Raw genomic sequence first — 22,414 nt, forward strand, 5'->3', positions numbered from 1 at the left:
CAGATAATCTGTAAATGATTGGTTGAAATCACATTGAATTCCACTTTGTGCCAGGGACTTAAGTTAACGAACAAATTATTCTTACAAAAAGGTATAAATGTAAGGTTTTCATTCTGCTAAATATGTTTGTCAAACTGTGTTGTGATTTGTTCTCAGTGTGTCATAGCTACCATAGCTTTTGGAATGGGCATTAATAAAGCTGACATTCGCCAAGTCATTCATTACGGTGCTCCTAAGGACATGGAATCATATTATCAGGAGATTGGTAGAGCTGGTCGTGATGGACTTCAAAGTTCTTGTCACGTCCTCTGGGCTCCTGCAGACATTAACTTAAATAGGTAAAAAAAATTTATTGTTTTTACTCTTGCAGATTTCTTTCTTTCTTTCCATATAAACCTCAAAAGTGTTTGAGGCTATTTCCAGTATCCCAAGTAATTTGTGAGTGCATTTAAAGTAAAAAAAAAAAAAAAGAAAAATAAAACCTCCCCAAATCCAGAGGACATGTAAGAAGAACATTTGTGGTAAGAGTTGCCACTTGGAGATGAGCTAATTTCAGCATGCCTTAGTTAGTGTGAGGAATTAACTAAATCAGGACAATACTTGGGCCTGTCACAGAGATCCTATGGAATACTTTCCTACCATTGTGCATTAATGAACAGGTTCTTTTCCTCTCCTCAGATCCTGTCAAGTTGCGATGTCTTCAGCCATAGTTACTTCAACTACCACTGATTTTGTTACTGATTCTTTCTTCCCATGCTACAGTGGTGATTATTCCAGAGGATTTCTCTCAGTCCCTATTTGACTCTTGTTACTATTTGTTTTCTTGGTTAGTTCCATGAGACCATGCCAGTTCTCCTTGACTGTGTATGAATCATTGTGTTGCACTGTACTGACAGACTGCCGTAAGTCAATATTAAGTGTTCAGTATCTAAGTGCAGGAGAACCTTTCTACTTAAGTACTCAACAAGTAGTTTGTTGGCACTTAAGTTCTATGAGATTTTTTGTTGTAAAGGAAAACATTATCTTGCAAAGATTTTGGGGCAGCATTTACCAATACTTTGTTCCTTCATCCGTAGGAAAAAGAATCTCAGGAGAAAAACCTATACATGGTAACCAATGGGGCTGCCAAGCTGATGAAGTATTTTCAGAGTACACCTTTGTGTAGCTGAATAAATTGAGATCTTGAATGGACATATTAGCTCATTTTAGTAAAATGATAAGAGAGTGCCTCCCACTACAGTTTTTGTTTTTATGCATCATTAAACAATGTGTTTTTGATTGTCCACTGTGTTCCATGAACTATGCTATGTGTGGGAGATATAGTAGTAAAGAAAAGCAAAGTACCTGCTTCCATAGAATTCAGTATAATGGGAATGGTAATTCTTTAGAGAATCACATAACTATGGATACATAGGCTTCATTTTACTGTTCTCCTTTTGTGTTTGAAAATGTCAACAATCAAAATTTTGTAAAAAAGGAATCATGCAACATATTTAAAATTATAACTGTGTTAAGTGTAATGAAGGGAAATTGCACTGAGTAGTAAGAATATATAATGGTGTGTGGTATTTCCCAAGTTAAAAAGGTCAGATAAGGCTTCCTTGTGGAAGTGATAGTTCAAATCTGAAAGAAGAATAGGAATTAATTAGGTAAAAATGTTTGATGCAAATTTTAAGATTTTCCTTCTGAGTAGTCAGTAGCTTTTCCTTCTTAACATAGAAGATGACAAAACCATCCTTTTTTTGTACATAACAATTCTTGTTTTCCTTTAGACAGTTGTATCTGTCAAGCTTCTTATGATCTAATTTAAATAATTGGGATAGAACACAGCTGTACATGTTACTATTAAATATGGAATATATCAAACATAAGTTGATTCCTACCAGTTCTGATTTTATTTGTGTATTTTGTTAAAGGTACTGAGGACATTAATATCCAGTTTTATATTGTGCATTTGAAGGTTCATCAATAAATACAATTCTTGTTTCTCTGGGTCTTAAAAGATATTTTAAATGGTTATCTCATTAAGATTTAACAGGAAATAACAGTGATTCAAATCAAATAGTGGTGCCAGAAACCCATACTTGAATTTTGGGTATAGACAGGTTACCCTTTGCATCAATCCTGAGGAAACTAAAACTATAGGATTAATCAGGATAAAAAAGAATTGAGCAAGGATTCAGGAGGGATCTGTATCATCCTGGTGACAACCCTCTTCTAGAAAAAACTAGAAAGTCTAAGAATAAATGAAGTTGCTGGTTCTCACCTGGAAAGGTCAGTTACTCACAAAATTTTTAGAGTCTATCTTATGCCATAATTCTATCACTGAGAGAAGAAACTTGTCCAGTCATCATGTAATCTTCATGTAAATTTATGTTTTTAATTGCAGAATTCATACCACAGGCAAAGTCCCAATGTCTGCATTTGCTGTTACCTTAAATAGTCAAACCCCAAAGTTATTGTAATCTTTTTTTAACAGAGAATAATTTGCAGAGTAATCTCGGTCCGGTAGATCTTTCAGTGGATCCAAATGATTGCCATGAATGGTTTAGAATTTTTTTAATTTTCAAGTTGTTTTTATTCTGTGGAATACTGGACTTATTTTTGTAGTCCCAAAAGAAAAATAAATATTTATTTATTTGCCGTTAAGAGTTGTAGTTTTGTTTTCTCAAATTTGTCCTGACACTGACGAGATTAGTTAAATGTAGGTCATCTGAACCAAATACAAGGAAGGAAGGACCCAGTTCTGAAGAGTGTGGGCATTTCTTTTCTTGTTTTTTTTTTTTTTTTTTTTTTTTTCTATAGGAGGGGAACGAGGTGAACTAAACAAACAAAATAAAGCAAAAAAGAACTGATTTTTATCCCTTGAGGTAGAAAGAATGAGATTACAGTGGACCCCCTTGTCTGCATTTTCACTTTCTATGTTTTAGTTACTCACAACCACGTCCAAAATGTTAAATAGAAAATTCCAGAAATAAACAATTTATAAATTTTAAATCAGTGGTGGCTTTGAGTACTGTAATGAAATTTTGTGCCATCCCACTCAGTCTGCCTCGACTTCCCTTAGAATCATCCCTTTGTCCGGTGCATTCACGTTGTATTTACTCCCTGTCTGTTAGTCACTTGTTGCAGTATCACAGTGCTTGTGTTCAAGTAACGCTTATTTTACTTAAGAATGACCCCAAAGCACAAGAGTACTGTGCCTAATTTATAAATTAAACTTTTTCATAGGTATATACATATAGGAAAAAACATAATACATACAGGATTTGGTTGGTACTATTCTGCGGCTTCAGGCATCCACTGGACGTCTTGGAATGTATCCCTTGTGGATAAGGAGGAACTGTATATGGTTAACCTAGGAGCTAGAGTCAACAGTTGGAAGAGACTTTGGGGATAATTACATGGAAGGGCATGGTGGGTGGTCGTTTCAGATGACAAGAATGTTTTTGAATAACGGATCATTTGTGTCTTCAGACTTTCCAGAACTCCTTGAGAATTATGCAGAGGTATTTAATCAGTCAGAAGGTTGAATAGTCAAATTATTAGTGAGTGAAGTCTATTTTGATGAGGATTTTACTAATGCTGTCCCTTAGATATTATAAGTAAATCGTTGTTTTCTTTTGAAATATCTGAAACCTAGTTAACATGGACTTTCATTTGTTCTTGTAAAGATATGCAAAGCTATTTGGGAGATTGTCATCATCTGATATTTGATATTCATGGGCTTTCTTCACAGAAGACTAGAAATTAACAGAGTCATGATGAATTATGGCTGCATTGACTTTAAAAAACAAACACCTCCTTAATGTTATTTAACAATTTTGAATAAATTTGATATGGCAAACAAATCAGTTATAATCGATTGAGAAAGGAACTTAATTCTAATACTTGACTGGTGTCCCATAATAACCCATAATACTAAGAGACAGTTTTGGAGGGCGAGAAGTCCTGAAGAGCTGATAGAGATAAAGGTTCAAATTTGAGCTTCTTTCAGTGTTCCTTACGTCAATGCTTTTAGTTTCTCATACAAAATAAAATAAAGAATAACCTTTTTACTGGGAAAAGGTAAAAATTAATAAATTGTAGAAGCATTGTTTGAAGCCAAAAAGTGTGTGACATGTAAATTGAAATGAAAAACCTTAGAGTTTTTGATACTTTTTCAAAGCAGCTAAAGAATTGATACTTGGACACAGGAAGAATTTTTTTTCAAAAGCAATTTTTATAAAATCAGAAAAATGTTTACCTCTTGTTGGGGGCATTGACTGGAAAGGAATACAACAGAACTTTCTGAGATGCTAGAAATGTTTTTTTATCTTGATGGGGTGTGGGTTTTGTAGATAATGAAAAATAAACAGTAAAAAATAAGTAAAAAAAAAAGTAAGAAAGTTGCCAATACAGTTTTACATATTCCTGTGATGTTTTTAATCGACAGGCACCTTCTTACTGAGATACGTAATGAGAAGTTTCGATTATACAAATTAAAGATGATGGCAAAGATGGAAAAATATCTTCATTCTAGCAGATGTAGGAGACAGTATGTATTATTTATTTTATGCCAATAGTATGGATTTATGGATGATGCTCTTTTAAGACAACAATTTGGCTAAATAATTATCAGTATTTTGAAAAAATATTTTGTTGCTGTTACATGTGTGCTGAATTTTTAAGGCTAACTTCTTTGTGTCTGAGTAAACTGAAGTCAAATAATGAAGTCCCAAGTGAATCAATTAATGGTGATTTTACCTCATTATTTTCAGGAATGAACTTAACATATACGTTTCTGTTCTTTTATTTAATTTAAAATTTTGTCTTGGGTAGAATCATCTTGTCTCATTTTGAGGACAAACAAGTACAAAAAGCCTCCTTGGGAATTATGGGAACTGAAAAATGCTGTGATAATTGCAGGTCCAGGTAAAGATTTCTTATTATAGATGGACATTCTAAAAGTCTTTCTTTCTCTTCCTTTTCATGTTTAACTGAATTTTTGTTGAATGATAAGTATTTCAGTTTTTTAAACAAAACAATGAATGTGTTTAGATATGAGAAAGCAAACAATATTAAAGTATTTTGCTTAAAAAATAGATAAAGCAATAAAATGGTAGCCCTAAATCTAAACATATCAATAGTTATGTTAAATGTAAATGATCTAAAATATTATTTAAAGGCGTAAATTGTAAGAATTGGTTTAAAAACATGACCCTGTTCTGTACGTTGTCCACAAGAAATCCACTGTAATTATATAGATAGGTTTAAAAAAGAATGAAACATTACATTCCATGAAAACATTAATCAAAAGGAAGTTGGAGTTACTTTAATATCAGACAATGGACACTTTGGAGCAAAGAATATTATCAGGATAAAGAAGGATATTATATGATGTAAAAGAATCATTTCACCAATGTATCAGTCAGGGTTCACCAGAGAAATAGGACGATTGATATTATGGAGATATATATATATATATATATATATATATATATGGGGAGGGAAAGGAAGAACAAATATGGGGAGAGAGGGATGAGGCGACTGATTTTGAAGAATTAGCTCACGAAATTGTGGGGGTTGGCAAGTCTGAAATTTGTAGAGCAGGTCAATAGGCTGGAAACTCAGGCAAGAGGTGATGTTGCAGTCTTGAGGCAGAATTTCTTCTCTAGCAAACCTAGTTTTTGCCCTTTAGTCCTGCCACTGAGTGGATGAGGCCCACCCACATTATTGACAATAATCTCCTTTACTTAAAGTCAACTGATTATAAATGTTAATCACGTCTACAAAATATTTTACAGCAACATCTAGATTAGTGTTTGACCAAACAACTGAGCATCATAGGCTAGCCAAGTTGATGCATAATATTAATCATCACAACCAAGAAGACATCATCCTAAATATATATATATATATATATATATATATCTACTTAACAAAAAGACTGACAGAACTGAAAGGAGAAATAGAGAAATCTACAGTTACATTTGGTGACTTCCAGCATCTCTCAATAATCAATAAAACTGACAGACCAAAAAATCAGTAAGAAGACAGAAGAAATGAACAGGATTATCAGCATGCTGGATCTCATTGACCTTTTTAGAACATTCTACCCAACAACAGTAGAGTACACATTCAAGTGCAGATGCAGTATTCATGAACATGGATCATATTCAGAGTCATAAAACAAACCTTAACAAATTTAAGAATCTTGTATTTGTATATTTTTTGACTAGAATGGAATTAAACTAGAAAACAATAACAGAAAGATAACAGAAAAGTCTCTAAACCTTAGAAATTAAATAACACACTTATAAATAAATCCATGAGTCAAAGAGGAAGTCTCAAGGCAAATCAGAAAATGTTTTGAACTGAATGAAATGAAAATACAAAATGTGTGAGATGCAGCTAATGCAATACTGAGAAGGAAATTTATAGCATTAAATACCTATGTAATAAAAGAAGAAAGGTCTCAAATCAGTACCTAAGCTTACATCTTAAGCAACAAGCAAATAAGAGCAAAATAAATCAAAATGAAGTAAACATAAGGAAATAACAAAGAACATAAGTCAATGAATAGAAAAGCTATGGTCATACCACTGCTGTCCAGCCTGGGTGACAGAGTGAGACCCTATGTCAAAAAAATTTAAAAACAAAGCAGCATGCAGCATTCATTGTCAGTGAATAGAAAATGGGAAAACAATAGAGAAAATCAACTCAAAAGCTCATTCTGTATAAAGATCAACAAAATTGATATAAACTTCTAACAAGACTGACGGAAAGAGAAAAGACACAGAAGACCAATACCAGGAATGAAAGAGGGAATTTCACTACAGACCTCCCAGGTATTACTAGGGATGATAAGGGAACACTATGAACAACTCAGAACATAACTTTAATAATTTAGATGAAATGGATCAATTTCTTGATAATCTCAAGCTAATTAAACTTACAGTGAATTAGATAACCTGCATAGTGTTACAACCATTAGAGGGATTGAATTCTATGTTAAAAATCTCTGAAAATAAAATCCCCTAGCCCAAAGAATTTCAATGACAAATTCTACCAAACATTTAGAAGACAAAATAATACCAATTCTATAGCATGATTCCATTTATATAATAGTCTTTGAAACATAAAACTATACTAGAGGGATGAAGAAAAGATCAGTGGTTATTAGAGATTGGGGGAGGGAGAAGGTATGATTCCAAAGGATAGTACAAGGCAGTATTTTGGAGTGATAGATTTATCGTGCCCTGATTGTGATGGGAGTTAGATGAATCTATGGATATCTTAAAATGTGTAGAACTTTACACATACATACAACCAATTTGCCTATGTTAATTGAAAAAATAAAATAAAAACAAATTATTTACCTGGTGGGTTAGCTACGTACCTAAGTTCAATAGCTGCGTTACTGTAAGACAAAAGAAGCATTATTAGGGATGGAGTTGTTCTCTGTGTAATGACAAATACTTCTTCACTAAGAAGACAGAATTGTTTTATGCACCTTTAAAAAAAAACAAAAACAAAAAAAATACAACCAACAAACAGTAACTTGCTGGTGCGGTGGCTCACACTTGTAGTATTAGCACTTTGGGAGGCTGAGGTGGGAGGATCACTTGAGACCAGGATTTTTAAGACCAGTCTGGGCAAAAAACCGAGACTGTGTCTCTACAAAAATAAAAAATAAATAAAAAAAATTAGCTAGGCATAGCATTATGTGCCTCTAGTCCCAGCTACTCTGGAGGCTAAGGTGGAAAGATCGCTTGAGCCTGGAAGGTTGAGACTGCAGTTGCAGTGAGCCATGATGGCACCACTACACTCCAGGCTGGGCATCAGAGTAAGACTCTGTCTCACATAAAAAAAATAATAATAATGATAAAAACTAGTCTGGGCATGGTGGCTCACACCTGTAGTCCCAGTCCTTTGGAAGGCCGAGGCAAGAGAATTGCTTGAACCCAAGACTTTGAGAACAGCCTGGGCAACATAGCAAGACCCCATCTCTATTTAAAAAAAAAAACAAACTTAAAAATCCAGCAAATACATAAAGCACAAAGCCGACAGAAGAGGTGGAGAAATCAACAAATCCACCATCAAAGTGGGAGAATTTGATATAATTTTAAGTTATTGGTAGGGTAAACAATCCAAAAATTAGTACACTGTAGAAAATTTGGTCAACATAGTAATAAGTTTGCTTATTACTATTTATCAGTATACATAGTATACTGATTTATCAGATACATAGTATATGGAGCCCTAGAGCAAGCAACTATAGCAGTGTATCTCAAGTATTTTTACTTCATGACCCACATAGCAAATGATATGTGTATATAACACACTGGGCTAATTGTCAGAGTTCAGTTTCTGTCCAAAACCCTAAGATCTGGAGTGATTAACCTTTCAGCACTCTTAGAACTCACTTGTTTGTAGCACACTGATTGAGAAGCACTGAAAGACTTCACTCCTCAAACATACATGGAATATTTCTAAAAACTATGTATTGGGCCGGGTGCAGTGGCTCATGCCTGTAATCCCAGCACTTTGGGAGGCCGAGGCGGGTGGATCCCGAGGTCAGGAGATCGAGACCATCCTGGCTAACATGATGAAACGCCGTCTCTACTAAAAATACAAAAAATTAGCCGGATGTGGTGGCGAGTGCCTGTAGTCCCAGCTACTCGGGAGGCTGAGGCAGGAGAATGGTGTGAACCCAGGAGGCGGAGCTTGCAGTGAGCCGAGATCGCGCCACTGCACTCCAGCCTGGGCAACAGAGCGAGACTCTGTCTCAAAAAAAACCAACCAACTGAACAAACAAAAAAACTAAAAAACAAAAACAAAAAAACTATGTATTAGAGCATGGGTTGGCAAACTATGGCCTGTAGGCCAAATCTGCATGCTGTTTTATTTTTTTTTATTTTTTTGACATAGGGTCACTACAGGCTGTCACACAGGCTGGAGAGCAGTGGTATGATCATAGCTCACTGTAACCTCAAATTCCTGGGCTCAAGCAATTCTCTTGCCTCACCTCAGCTTCCCAAGTAGCTACAGGCATGCACTACCAGACCCAGTTAATTAAAACAAATTTTTTTTTGGTAGAGACAGTCTCAGTATGTTGCCCAGGCTGGTTTTCAAACTCCTTGCCTCAATCAGTCCTCCTACTTCAGCCTCCTAAAGTGCTGGGATTATAGGCATGAGCCATCACGCTTGACTAATGTTTTTGTAAATAAAGTTTTCTCAGAACACAGCCATGCCTTTTGTTTATGTGTTATGTAGGGCTGCCTGAGTTAAGTAGTTGGCTGCAAAGCCTATCATGGCCTATAAAGCCTGAAATACTTACTATCTGGTCCTTTATAGAAAGTGTTTTCTGACCCTGTACTAGACTAGCTTGTCTCAAAATTCTTCAATGAATTTGGAAGTTTTCTCACCACATTTTCTGACCATAATGCACTTGAGTTAGAAGTAAATAAGCAGATAAACAACAAAATCCTCATGCATTTGGAAATTAAAAATAACACTTAAATAATTCATATTCAAAGAAAAAATCAAACTGGAAATTAAAAAAAATTTTAAACCTACAGATAACTACATTAATATGCATTAACATTTTTAGAACTTAGGGATAGTTACAATGATATACATTAAAACTGGTAAGAGGCTGGGTGCGTTGGCTCACGCCTGTAATCCCAGCACTTTGGGAGGCCGAGGCTGGGGGATCACGAGGTCAAGAGATTGAAACCATCCTGGCCAACATGGTGAAACCCCGTCTCTACTAAAAATACAAAAATCAGCTGGGCGTGGTGGCACGCGCCTGTAGTCCCAGCTACTTGGGAGGCTGAGGCAGGAGAATCGCTTGAACCTGGGAGGCGGAGGTTGCCGTGAGCCGAGATTGGGCCACTGCACTCCAGCCTGGCGACAGAGCGACACTCTTGTCTCAAAAAAAAAACAAAACAAAACAAAAAAAAAAACTAGTAAGAGGGCCCAGTGGCTCACACCTGTCATTCTAGCTCTTTGGGAGACTGAGGAGAGAGGATCAGTTGAGGCCAGGATTCAAGACCAGTCTGGGCAACATAACGAGACCGCATCTCTACAAAATTTTAATAACAACAACAAAAAAAACTGGTAAGAGGCAACATTGAATAGTACTTTGTGGGAGTTTATTAGCTTGAAATACTCATAATAGAAAAGAAAATTAATCAGCTAAGCATCTCACTAAAGAGATTAGGAGAATAAACCTAAGCATAGTTTTTTTCCCCCAAACATTATTATATCTGGAATATTGAATGCATTCTTATTGCTATTTCAAAGATACTTACTCTAAGGAAAGCAATTGAATTAGGTAGTTGAACTCTATAGTAGATTTTCTTTAATGAGTCCTTTTGTTCTCAACCTACTTAAATAATTCTCATTTGAATTTATGATAGTTTCAGATCTACCCAAAGGGTGACTTAGGAATTTAACTTCTAAATCTATTTAAATGAAAGGTTTATAATCTTTTTGTCATATTTTACAGTCGTTAGCGTTTAACAATTTATAGCATAGGATTTGGGTTTTTTTTTTTTTTTCATTTTAAAGAAGAAGTTTATTTAAGCAAGACACTTGACTAAGGGAAGACTATCTTGGAGTTATTATTACTAGAGTAATTTATTTCTACTTAAAGACAGATTGCCCCACAAGTAACAGCTACATAAAAACAGTTGTAAAATTGTCCTTGGTTTTACAATGATAAATGAAAAACATTAAAATTCTCTAATTGAACAAGGTATGCAAGGATTTTTATATTGTTTTTTGCTAAAACTATGACAGCAAAATAACATCCTGGAGTATAAAGATAAGAGCTGAATGAGCAGGCCACTAGGGGACAAAGGGAGTCTTTTCACAGAACCAATGCTTCTTTTGCCCACCCCATCTCCATCGAAGTCAATCTAAACATATTATTGGCCATTTAGTTAAAAAAAGAAAGAAAAGAAAAGCAATATGCTTGTGGACATACACCAGTTACTTTATGTGCAGTAAAAGAGTAGGAAGGGGAAGGTGAAAGAATAGAGAAAACTATGTAGTCAGGATGTGGTGGAACCAAATTGCAACTTTCTTTTTTTTTGAGACAGAGTTTTGCTCTTGTCACCCAGGCTGGAGTGTAGTGGTGGCCCAATCTTGGCTCACTGCAACCTCCGCCTCTCAGATTCAAGCCATTCTCCTGCCTCAGCCTTCTGAGTAGCTGGGATTACAGGTGCATGCCACCATGCCTGGCTAATTTTTGTATTTTTAGTAGAGATGGGTTTTCACCATGTTGGCCAGGCTGGTCTTGAATGCCTGACTTCAAGTGATCCACCCGCCTCAGCCTCCCAAAGTGCTGGGATTACAGGCGTGAGCCACTGCGCCTGGCCAAATTGTAGCTTTCTAATTGAGACTGTCTTCTTGGTCTGGAAGAGCAGAGTTCTGCAGTAAAATAACAGGTCCCCCTTTTAGTAGACATCTCCATGTCTGCTGCTGGAACACATCAGTTTTGTCTTAAGCCTCACTTCCAAATGTGCAGATGTGTCTGGTTCATTGATTGGCTGCCTGTCAAATTGAAACCTGATCTGCCTCATTGGCAAACCGTGCCCCTTACAATAGGCTTTCATTGGTTTACTAAGCGGTGTGGTGCGTGGCTGTTCATCTTAAACTGCACCACAGTTTAAGATGAACCTTCAAATGAACATTATCCTTGTTCTCAGTCTTGACTTTCCTTGGGCTTTTTGTGGACCCTGGTGAGTGTGGCAGTCTCCTCAGCTGCTGCTTCACAAAAGAGGTACCAGGTCTGCCCCGAATGAGTGAGCCCCTAAACAGGACCAGGAGTGGCAGAAGAAAGAGGCAGCAACTGAGATGTGTTTTTTCTAAGCTGAAAGGCTTTTTTTTTTTTTTTTTTTGCAACACACCTTTAACACTAAAGTCCAATATTTATATAATTGGTCAAGTAAGTGGAGCTGTTCTAGCTATAAATATGGCAACTCTGCTTGCTCGTCCTATTATTGACATTATTCCTTTCTGTGGTCTGAGGTGCCTCCCATGAAACTTGCTTCTAGGACACTAGGATTGAGAACCATCAGCGTAACATATCTGTTACGCTACAATAGTTTATTTTCATATTTTAGCTACTTTACATACTCGGGTATAATGAACTTTATTCATAGCTTCTGAAGCAGTTGGCACATTTGAGATATTTTTTACTTGGCTAATTGTTATGCTAAATCTTTTGATTTCTAAAGATACATGCCTTTGCTAAGCTTTCTTCAAATGTTATTATTTTTATTTAGATTGGATCATTGCTATTCCATGGATGACTCAGAGGATACATCCTGGGACTTTGGTCCACAAGCATTTAAGCTTTTGTCTGCTGTGGACATCTTAGGCGAAAAATTTGGAATTGGGCTTCCAATTTTATTTCTCCGAGGATCTGTAAGTATATATCTGTGAATTCCCTTCATAGATCTTCTTTTACTTCTATTACACTTTTCTTCAGAGGTTTGCAGTATTATGATTGTAGCTTTGACTTCAGATGGGTGACTAGGAACTCATAGAGTCTTACTAAGTTCCAGTTAAACACTACATTCATTACTTTGGATAAAACCCGTGTGTATGGCATCTTCTGCTGTTTTCATGTTCAAGCCGATGTTCAGCTCTGCAGCTCAGTCTGGAAGCATTGTGTTAATTTATCACATTGCATTTGGGTGAATCCCTAGACTAGTCTTGCTTAGGATAATTAGGAAAAGTTAACTTTCATTGTATCAAGGGACAGGTAGAACAAAATTGTCCTTTTGTCCAGGAAACCATTAAATTCTTCAAGGAAAACTTTAGTTATAGGGATTATTTTTTAAATGTCTAATTTCAGTAACAATATTTGGGACATATTTATTTTTCCTTCTGTTTCCTATCAGAAGTATTTAAAGTTATAAGAAAATTGTGGTTTTTGCCTTTACTAATGAATAAATAATCAATTAAATTCAGTTACTTTTTTTTGGAGTGATTGATGTTCCAGTATTCTTCTAAACAACCACGGGTACAAATGTGAATAAGATAGGACCGTTGCAGTCCAAGAGCTTGTTCTGTAGTCCTTTCCTTTATATGATTTTTTCCCCTGATTTAGAAGTCTATAAAGCAAAGCTAAGTATTACACACTGATAATGGCTGAATAAATCAAGAGCAAGAGATAGGATACTTTGCAAATATGCATATTTATTAAAAATGTACTTTAAAATAGAGATTAAAATTCTCGTATTGAATGTAGAATAGGTAAGCATTTATTTGTGAAATACTCGAATGCTTCATGTAAATACTTTCTGAGTTTGTATTTTTAGAAAGGAACATTTTGGAGGCTGAGGCAGGAGAATGGCGTGAACGTGGGAGGCGGAGCTTGCAGTGAGCTGAGATTGTGCCACTGCACTCCAGCCTGCGCGACAGAGCAAGATTCTGTCTCAATAAAAAAAAAAAAAGAAACATATTTATTAAATTAGTTGTGAAATATTTTTAATGAAATATATTGAAAACTTCTGTTGATTTTTCATGTACTGATGTTTTTAGATTCTAAATGGAGTTTAAAATTTTGTTTGTAAATCACAAGTTGGATTAGAAATTTAATAGTAGAAGTGTTGCCTAAGGACTATTTTAGGTGCTGTGAGTGAAACTGTATTTTTTATAACAAGAATTTTAGTTGTAAGGGACAGCTTAAATATAATTGAGATCTGTGAAAATGTATTCTGTCTCTATCACCTTCAGAACCTGTGTATCTCAGTTGAATGTATAATTTATAAAAATTATTCTTGTTTTAATTTGGTGTAATCCAGCCATATCCAGTATCAACAAATAAGTCTAAGTAGGCTCCTTGACAAACTTGAACTGGCCACAAGAGAGATCAGATTTCACCTATTAAAAAACCAAATCAGACCACTTACACTGACAGTCTCTTCTGGGAGTCCTCAAATTAAGAAGTCTATCCTTTGTGAAATATTACACTACCCTTGCTAGATAAAACTTTTCTAAAAGTACCACTTAATGAAAATCTGTAGACACTAAATGCAATGAAAATAAGGCATTGTTTTTTTTTCTCCCCATTTCAGTGATCTTGGTATCCTGGGATATTGTTTTTAAAATTATCGTTATAATTCCTTTGAGAATTTAGTGAAATGTTCCCTTTAACCAACTTAGGAAAAATTAATATCTTTGTACATGATTTTGAGCTGTAAAATAAACATTTTAAACTGGGAATAATTGGAGTTTAGTTAAAGAGATAATGTATATAAATATATAACATAGTAGCAGCATATAATTCTGTCTTACACAAGATTTTTCTGAATAGTATAAACAGTTATGTAGCCTATCTAGGAGTTTGTGAATAGAGTTTAAAATTTTGTTTTGAAGCTGCAAATTTGATTAGAAATTAAACAGTGAAGTTATTACTTAAGGAACTTCGTTTTAGCTGTCTGAACAACTTACTGTATAAAAATCTTTAAACATTCTGTATAAATATGTGATAAGATATGCAATGACCTTAATTTTATAGATTAGAAAATAAAAACACACTCATTAATTTACATAACTGACAGATTAAGTGAAACTTCTCTTCTGATCACGTTAGCAGAATGCCAAATCTTGTCGTGGCACTAGAATTAGACGGTAGTTTTGATAATACATGATTTGACTATAGACATTTGTTGAAACTATTGGTAGTTTTAATCACTCTTGTAATTTTCAAACTATCTAACGGGAGAGGATTATCCATCCTGTTTTCTAGACAAACTGTTTCATCTGAATGAAATATATTCCTAGAGATAATTATCACTACTTCATCTTTTGGTTTTATTTTGCACATAGAATTATAGTTCACAATGACTTTCTGAAGCTCTAAAGTTGCAGCTGTGAGCTTCTTTGGCCTGTAGGGACTGGGAAAAAGCACCCCCGTCCTCCCCCAAGCCCCCCCACCAAAAAAAGTTAAAGTGTTTTTAACAATAGCTGTGGGCTTTTTGTAGTTTCAGAACTTAGGAGTTGCCCAGGCTGGAATGCAGTGGTGTGATCATAGCTTGATGCAGCCTTGAACTCCTGGGTTCAAGCAATCCTCCCACCTCAGCCTCCAGAGTAGCTGGGACCACAGGTGCCACCCCACCCAGCTATTTTTTTTATTTTTTAATTTTTTTGTAGGTATGGGGTCTCCCCATGTTGCCCTGCCTGTCTCAAACTCCAGGGCTCTCAGGTGATACCCACCACCCTTGGCCTCCCAAAGCACCGAGAGTCACTGTGCCAGGCTGAGTTTAAAATTTCTTGAGTTGGAGTTTATGGCTATTTTTTCCACTAGTTATTAAACATGTATTTTTGTATAAGGCACTGTATTACATTTTGTGGGGGGATTCAAAGCTAAATTAGATGAGACGCATCATCTATTATGGAAGATGTTACTTAAGAAGAAATGAGTGTAATGTAGCAGAGAATTAGATAAGGGACGTATGAATACATATAAATGCTGTTGAAGTTCTGAAGAGAGAGAGTGTTTAGAGAAATTAGAGGAGTCTTTGTGAAGGTATCACTAGAACTTCCTATTTTTGTGGAATATATAGTAGATTTTGGTGTGATACTGTGGATTTGGACATTCACTCAGAGAAGGAATGAGGGAAGAATGGTGGAGAAGAATGGCATTCACAGTACAAAAAGCAACTGTGACTTTTAAAGAAGTTAATATGGAGAAGTGGCAAGTCTTTTCTTCTCTCTTCTCTTCTCTTCTCTCTTCTTTTTCTTTTTTCTTTTTTTCTCTGTCAGATACCGTTGTAAAGACTTTGCTTTTACCGGAAACTGATACGTTGGGTCATGTACCCTGGCCAGTCAGTTCTCTTTATTCTAACACTTAGCCGATCAGTTAGATTTCCACATTCCATGATATGTCAGTTTTGGTGACCCTTATTTTTCCACCTGGTTTATAAAGGGAAAGAATGTGATATGTCACCCAGGCTCTGGAGTACAGTGGCATGATCATAGGTCACAGCAGCCTCAAAGTTTCCAGTTCAAGCGATCCTACTTCCTTGGCTTCCTGAGTATGTGGCACTACAGGTGCATGCCACCATGCCCAGCTAACTTTTTTGTAGAGACAGGGTCTCCCTATGTTTCCCAGGCTGGTCTTGAACCCCTGACCTCAAGTGATCCGCCCACCTTGGCTTCCCAAGATATTGGCATTACAGGCATGAGCCACTGTGCCGGCCTGAAAATTTCTCTTTTGAGATGGCATCCCACAGAAGTATACCTGCTTAGAGCTAACACTGGTAAAAAGACTATTTAACCCTATTGCCTTATTTTACTGTAGTTGAGATTGAGTTAAACTGAAAGCTGAATGACCTGTCCTAGGTCATACTGTTACTTTGTGCCAGAGTCAGGATGAGCAAATGGATTTCCTGCCTGCTAGTCTAGTGTCTTTTCTATTTATTGTGCTGTAACATACAGTTTTAAATTTGTATTTTTATGCCCAATGGACATGGTAGCTCACACCTGTAATTTCAGCACTTTTGGGAAGCCGAGGTGGGGGGATTGCTCGAGACCAGGAGTTCAAGATGAGCCTGGGCAACATAGCGAGACTCCGTCTCTATAAAAAAAAATTTAAAAATTAGCTGAGTGGTGATGTGTGTGCGTGTAGTCCTCCTTGTGGGAGGTTGAGGTGGGAGGATCGATTGAATCTAGGAATTCAGGACTGCAGTGAGCCATGATTACACCACTGCACTCCAGCCTGGGTGACAGAGCAATACCCTGTCTCGAATGAATGAATGAATGAATGAATGAATGAATGAATGCCCAAATCCGTAAGCTATGTTCTGTATAGCAGCTTTTTCATCATAGGCAGTTTTTACTCTTATCAGTGGACAACCTACAAAATTAACTAAACACTTAAACAATTAACAGAGGAGGCCTTGTTCAGAGTGAGAAATCATTAAGCATTTGTTGTTGAAATTTCTTACTGTACTCTGTTTTAATTCTGTTTTTTTTTTTTTTTAATGTTACTTGTTTTAGTTTGGATTCCTAGTTGAAAAGGGAATATGATTCCTTTAAAACAAAGATACTCTGCTTTAAAGCAAAGGTATATCATCCTCTTCATGGTGATTGCCATGGAAACAAGACAATGTAAATTTATTCAAATAGTACACAGTTTTTATAGTTATTGATCATGAGGGGAAGGGACAGTTAATCCCTACTGATCAGATAAAACCTCATTGTTTCATACTAATAAATGGTTTTTTTATGCTTATGAAAGGAAAAGCCAGAAGTGTAATTTTTAGTGTTTAGAGAGCTAGTGATTCTAGTTAGGGAACTTAATACCTTTGAAGTTATTAGTTTGCAAGCAATAGAATCTACTACTACCAAGGTGACCCCTAGCAGATGTAGAGTACCATTAACAAGTGTTCCAGGGAAGGAAAGCCAACTAGATACCAAGTCATGCTTTTTACTCTTAGATTAAGAAATTCAGGTTGAGTTAAAGGATCAGCTGTTAACTAATAAAAAGCAGATTAATATTACAGAGCCAGGCTCTGTCCTGGTTATGGACTTAATCTTCACAGCATCCTCAAGAGATAAAAATGAATATACCTGCATATTAGATGAGGAAATAGAAGATAAGTAACTTGCCAGAGCTATGACGTGAACTCAGGTAATGTAGCTTAAGAGCCCCCACATGTATGTATATTGGGTGTGTGTGTGGAGGGGGTGCGTGTGAGTGCTTGTGCATGCGTGTGGTATAATAAGAAAAAATTAGCATTTATGCCTGTAATCCCAGCACTTTGGGAGACCGAGGCACGAGGATCTCTCAACCCCAGGAGTTCAAGACCAGTCTAGGCAACATAGCGAGACCCTACCTCTACAAAAAAAGTTTTAAAAATATTAGCGGGCATGGTGGAATACACCTGTAGTCTCAGCTGCTTGGGACGCTGAGGTGGGAGGATCCTTGAGTCCAGGAGATTGAGGCTACAGTGAGCTATGATGACACCTCTGCACTCCAGCTTGGGTGACAAAGAGAGACCCTGTCTCCAAAAAAAAAAATTAGAACTAGTTATCTGGAGGCCTGTGTTCTAGTCCTAGCTTTAGTACGGCTACACAGTGACACATTAGGCTACCATTTAACATCTTTGAACCTCTGATAATTTGTTAACAATATGGGTAAAAATGACTAAGATAAATCAAAGAGCTCCAGCATTCCCTCCAGCTCTGAAATTCTATGATGTTTTATCTTATTTTACTTACAAAAATAAATTATATTATGTATATTTAAAGTATACAATTTGATGTTATGGGTTACCTATAGTAAAATGATTACTATAATGAAACTAATTAACATATCCATCATCTTATATTGTTAACCATTTTTTTGTTTTTGTGGCAAAAGCAGCTGAAATCCACTCATTTAGCAGGAATCCCAAATACAGTTCAGTTGTATTAATTGTAATTCTCATGTTGTACATTCGATCTCTAGACTTGTTTATGCTACATATGTTTGACTTTTAAACATTCTACTCAAATCAACCCTAAGTCAGGGTTAGCACAGACAGGACTTGTTAACAAGGTAGAAGGTGCCACATTGTACCTGGGTGTTTATATTTCTCTAAATCTTGTTCTGATCATATTTTAATAAATATAATCATCAGGACACCAAAATTCATTCCTTAGCTATTAAAAAATTCTATTCTATTTTATTGTTAAGATTTAGGAGAGCATGGTACAGATTCTCTTAACTATACCTATCAGAAGCCTATGTTTTAAGTCCAATGTATAGGCACTGCTCTGTTTGTCTCTGGTGGGAACTTACCCTGCTTTACCTAATTTCATCCTAGCTTCCTTTTTGTGAAAGATCACCCTTGCTTAGCCTATTTTTTGGCAAATCTACACCTTGGAAATAGTAGTAAATGACATAAGCATATTAATATTTATGATGTGATTTATTTTTGTTTTCAAGTCATATACTGGGGAAGATTCTCAAATATTAAAACAATGTATCTTTACATTTATGTATGTCGTTCTTGTTCTGTTTTAGAAGGCTTGTATTTGCATTTTTAACATTCCAAAAGGTAAACCTGTAATCATAATGTTTTCATCAATTCAATAAAACCATTACGTTTGTAATAGAGAGCCCTATAGTTGCCTTAGTTAAGTTTGCTGCAACTCATTTTATATATTCTTTTAATTTTGATCCCTGGATTTTTAATTGATTATTAAACCTTCATTAGGATATATATGAAATGTAAAAATATTGAGTTATAATCTACCGTTTTCTAAAATTTTATACTGCATTTTTATATAGAAATTCAAATTGCTCATAATCATTCTAGTGAATTTAAGTAGAAAGGTATTTATTACTAGGTATTAAATGGCTTATAATATTGTTGACAAGGTTCCACTGCAAAATAGTTCACCAAGGGAGCTGTGGCCTCTTCTGTGATCAAGAAGCCATCTGTCAACTTGGGAAGCTTCCACTATAGCACCTAACCCCAGACTACATTGAGTAGGAAGCTGTAATAATCAGGAAGCTTCTACCTTTGCATGCTCTGCAAACCAACGTGAACCTGCTGTAATTTGTAACCACAAAATGGATGCCTGTTGATACTTACGAAGCTCATCATTGTATGCTGGGTTCTTTGCTAATACTTTCTTATAAAAATTAAATACCTCCACAATCATGCATGCTAGCAGAAACAGCAGAGGAGTAGCCTTAGCCTCACTTCCTGCTTATACCTGTCATGCAAATATACAGAACCCAGAACCCTAGCTGAAAGGGAGTTTGAGAACTAGTATTTGTATTGTCCCAGATTCTGCAGTGGAAGAATTCATAGTGGATGGAAGTTAGAATGACCCTTGAATTACAATCGGCCACATTCATCACAAATACATTAAATAAGAGTAATTTGCCATAAAGCTCTATGTTTGTATACTTCTTTGTTTTTTTTTTTTTTTTTTTTTTTTTTTTTTGAGACAGGGTCTCACTCTGTTGCTCAGTCTGTAGTGCAGTGGTGTCATCATAGCTCACTGCAGTCTTGATCTCCTGAGCTCAAACGATTCTCCTGCCTCAGCTCCTGCTTCAGCCTCCTGAGTAGCGGAACAACAGGTACACACCACCACACTTTGCTAATTTTTTATTTTTTATTTTTTGTAGAGATGTGGGTCTCACTGTGTTGCCCAGGATGGTCTCGAACTCCTGGGCTTAAGTGATCCTCCCAAAGTGTTGGGATTACAGGCATGAACCACTGTGCCTGGCCCATATACTACATATATTTAAAAGTAGTATTTAAATGTGTAGGATGAATGAAAGAGGCAGTAAGAGAACAAAGTGAATGAAAAAGTATTTCTATATGAAGTGAAAGCAGGAGAGTCCTCTCTGTTAGAGAACAACAGAATTGCATATGACAGACTAGCTTTCTTAATATTTCTAGAACTTGATGGCTGTGAAGAGCGTCCCGTAGGAATTCTCCCTTCACTTAGGAAAACATACCTCAAAACCATCAGCTGTTTAGCATGCACCTGCTTTTCCTGGTATATCTCAGTGAAGCAGCTAAATTGTAAATGATTAAGTAAACTTTGCAGTGTATCATGTGCAAAAGCACAGTAAAAACAAAAATGCATTGGAAGCTGTGAGTTGTTGCACTGCACTCATGGATGAATAGCTGTTGGTTCGCATTGCGTTTTTTTGTTTTGTTTTGTTTTGTTTTTTTGAGATGGAGTCTTGCTCTGTTGCCCAGGCTGGAGTGCAGTGGCGTGATCTCGGCTCACTGCAAGCTCTGCCTCCCAGATTCACGCCATCCTCCTGCCTCAGCCTCCCGAGCAGCTGGGACCACAGGTGCCCGCCACAACACCTGGCTAATTTTTTGTATTTTTAGTAGAGACGGGGTTTCACCATGTTAGCCATGATGGTCTCAATCTCCTGACCTCGTGATCTGCCTGCCTTGGCCTCCCAAAGTGCTAGGATTACAGGCATGCCGCATTGCGTTTTATATAATTCTCATGGTTCTAGTCTCGAGCTGTAGGATTTTGATCACTGTTTCAAACAATAATGTGAGTTTGCTAAGAGGTCTAAATAACAAAAGCTAAGTGTTCCAAACACATATCCAAACCTATACACTGGGCAATGCATCTGAATTATATGTGAAATTTCCTGCCATTATTTAAGACACAAAAGGAACATTATTTTGATAATGTATTTATTTGTGAGTGGAGTGTTCAGAATGAGCACGATGGGTATAACATTTTTGTAGGTTTTTAAAGTTGAAATTTAGTGTAAATCCAAAGAATCAATAGACAAGTCTGTGTTTTACTTAACCTATATGTTTAAATTAGCATTTTTAGATACTGATTTTATTCCTAATTTCAGAATTCTCAGCGTCTTGCCGATCAATATCGCAGGCACAGTTTATTTGGCACTGGCAAGGATCAAACAGAGAGTTGGTGGAAGGCTTTTTCCCGTCAGCTGATCACTGAGGGATTCTTGGTAGAAGTTTCTCGGTATAACAAATTTATGAAGATTTGCGCCCTTACGAAAAAGGTAAACGGTGTAGGAGTCTGCCTGTTTGACTTAATTTTGTTTCCCACTCCACATTAAAAGATCCTTTTTGCTTTTAATAGGGTAGAAATTGGCTTCATAAAGCTAATACAGAATCTCAGAGCCTCATCCTTCAAGCTAATGAAGAATTGTGTCCAAAGAAGTTGCTTCTGCCTAGGTTCATTTTTCAGTTTTTTTCTTGTAACTTCTGCATTTTTTGTTGCTATTTATGTGATTCAAATTATACCAGTTTATAGGCCTCTCACAAGTAAAATGAATTACCTGTTTGTTTTTGTATGCCTATTTTAGTCAGTTTGGGGGAAGGGATCTGTGAGGAAAGGATAAGTCATAGAGCACTTTTCTTTTTTAAGAGACAGAGTCTCTCTGTGTTGCTCAAGCTGGAGTGCAGTGGTGCGATCATAGCTTACTGCAGCCTCGATCTCGTGGGCCCAAGTAATCCTCAGCCACCTGAGTAGATGGGACTACAGACATGCACTACTATGCCCAGCTAATATATTTTAATTTTTTGTATAGAGACAGGGTCTTCTAGTGCTTCCTAGGCTGGTCTTGAACTCCTGAGCTCAAGTGATCCTCCTGCCTCAGCCTCCCAAACTACTGGGATTACAGGCATGATCCACCGCTCCCAGCCAGAACATTTTCTTGGTTGATGGGAAGTAGCTGACCATGGTATTTAGAAAACTTCTTTCTCATCGATTAAAGAAGCAGTACTGAAATCAATGCGGAGGAATCCATATATCATATTTACTTCTGGTGTGTAGAAGTGGAAAGGGAATACATTTGTTGCTTACTTTTTTGTACCTTTACATGTGATTGATCACTTGTGAGTTTTTTCTTTCAAACATCTTAAAGCTTCCAGAGCTTTTTCTAGAAAAAAAAATCAGT

The 22,414-nt window shown here is 36.3% G+C and overlaps 1 protein-coding gene and 1 pseudogene across 6 annotated transcripts in view; one reads left to right on the forward strand and one right to left on the reverse strand.

The window, feature by feature from the left end:
- WRN (WRN RecQ like helicase) overlaps positions 1–22,414 on the forward strand; it is a 142,329-nt gene that overhangs the window by 86,277 nt on the left and 33,638 nt on the right. For all 6 annotated transcript variants that reach the window (XR_949472.4, XR_949471.4, XR_949470.4 and 3 more), the window contains 6 exons: positions 157–338; positions 4,436–4,537; positions 4,822–4,914; positions 12,279–12,420; positions 21,344–21,514; positions 21,595–21,689. Coding sequence is in view for 3 of the 6 variants with exons in the window: in NM_000553.6 (NP_000544.2) it covers positions 157–338; positions 4,436–4,537; positions 4,822–4,914; positions 12,279–12,420; positions 21,344–21,514; positions 21,595–21,689 (785 nt within the window). In the remaining 3 variants the exon portion in view is untranslated. The remainder of the gene's footprint in view (positions 1–156; positions 339–4,435; positions 4,538–4,821; positions 4,915–12,278; positions 12,421–21,343; positions 21,515–21,594; positions 21,690–22,414) is intronic.
- Positions 11,453–11,716, reverse strand: SUMO2P16 (SUMO2 pseudogene 16; annotated as a pseudogene).

The sequence above is a fragment of the Homo sapiens genome, chromosome 8 (genome assembly GCF_000001405.40).
Source record: "Homo sapiens chromosome 8, GRCh38.p14 Primary Assembly".
NCBI lineage: Eukaryota > Metazoa > Chordata > Mammalia > Primates > Hominidae > Homo > Homo sapiens.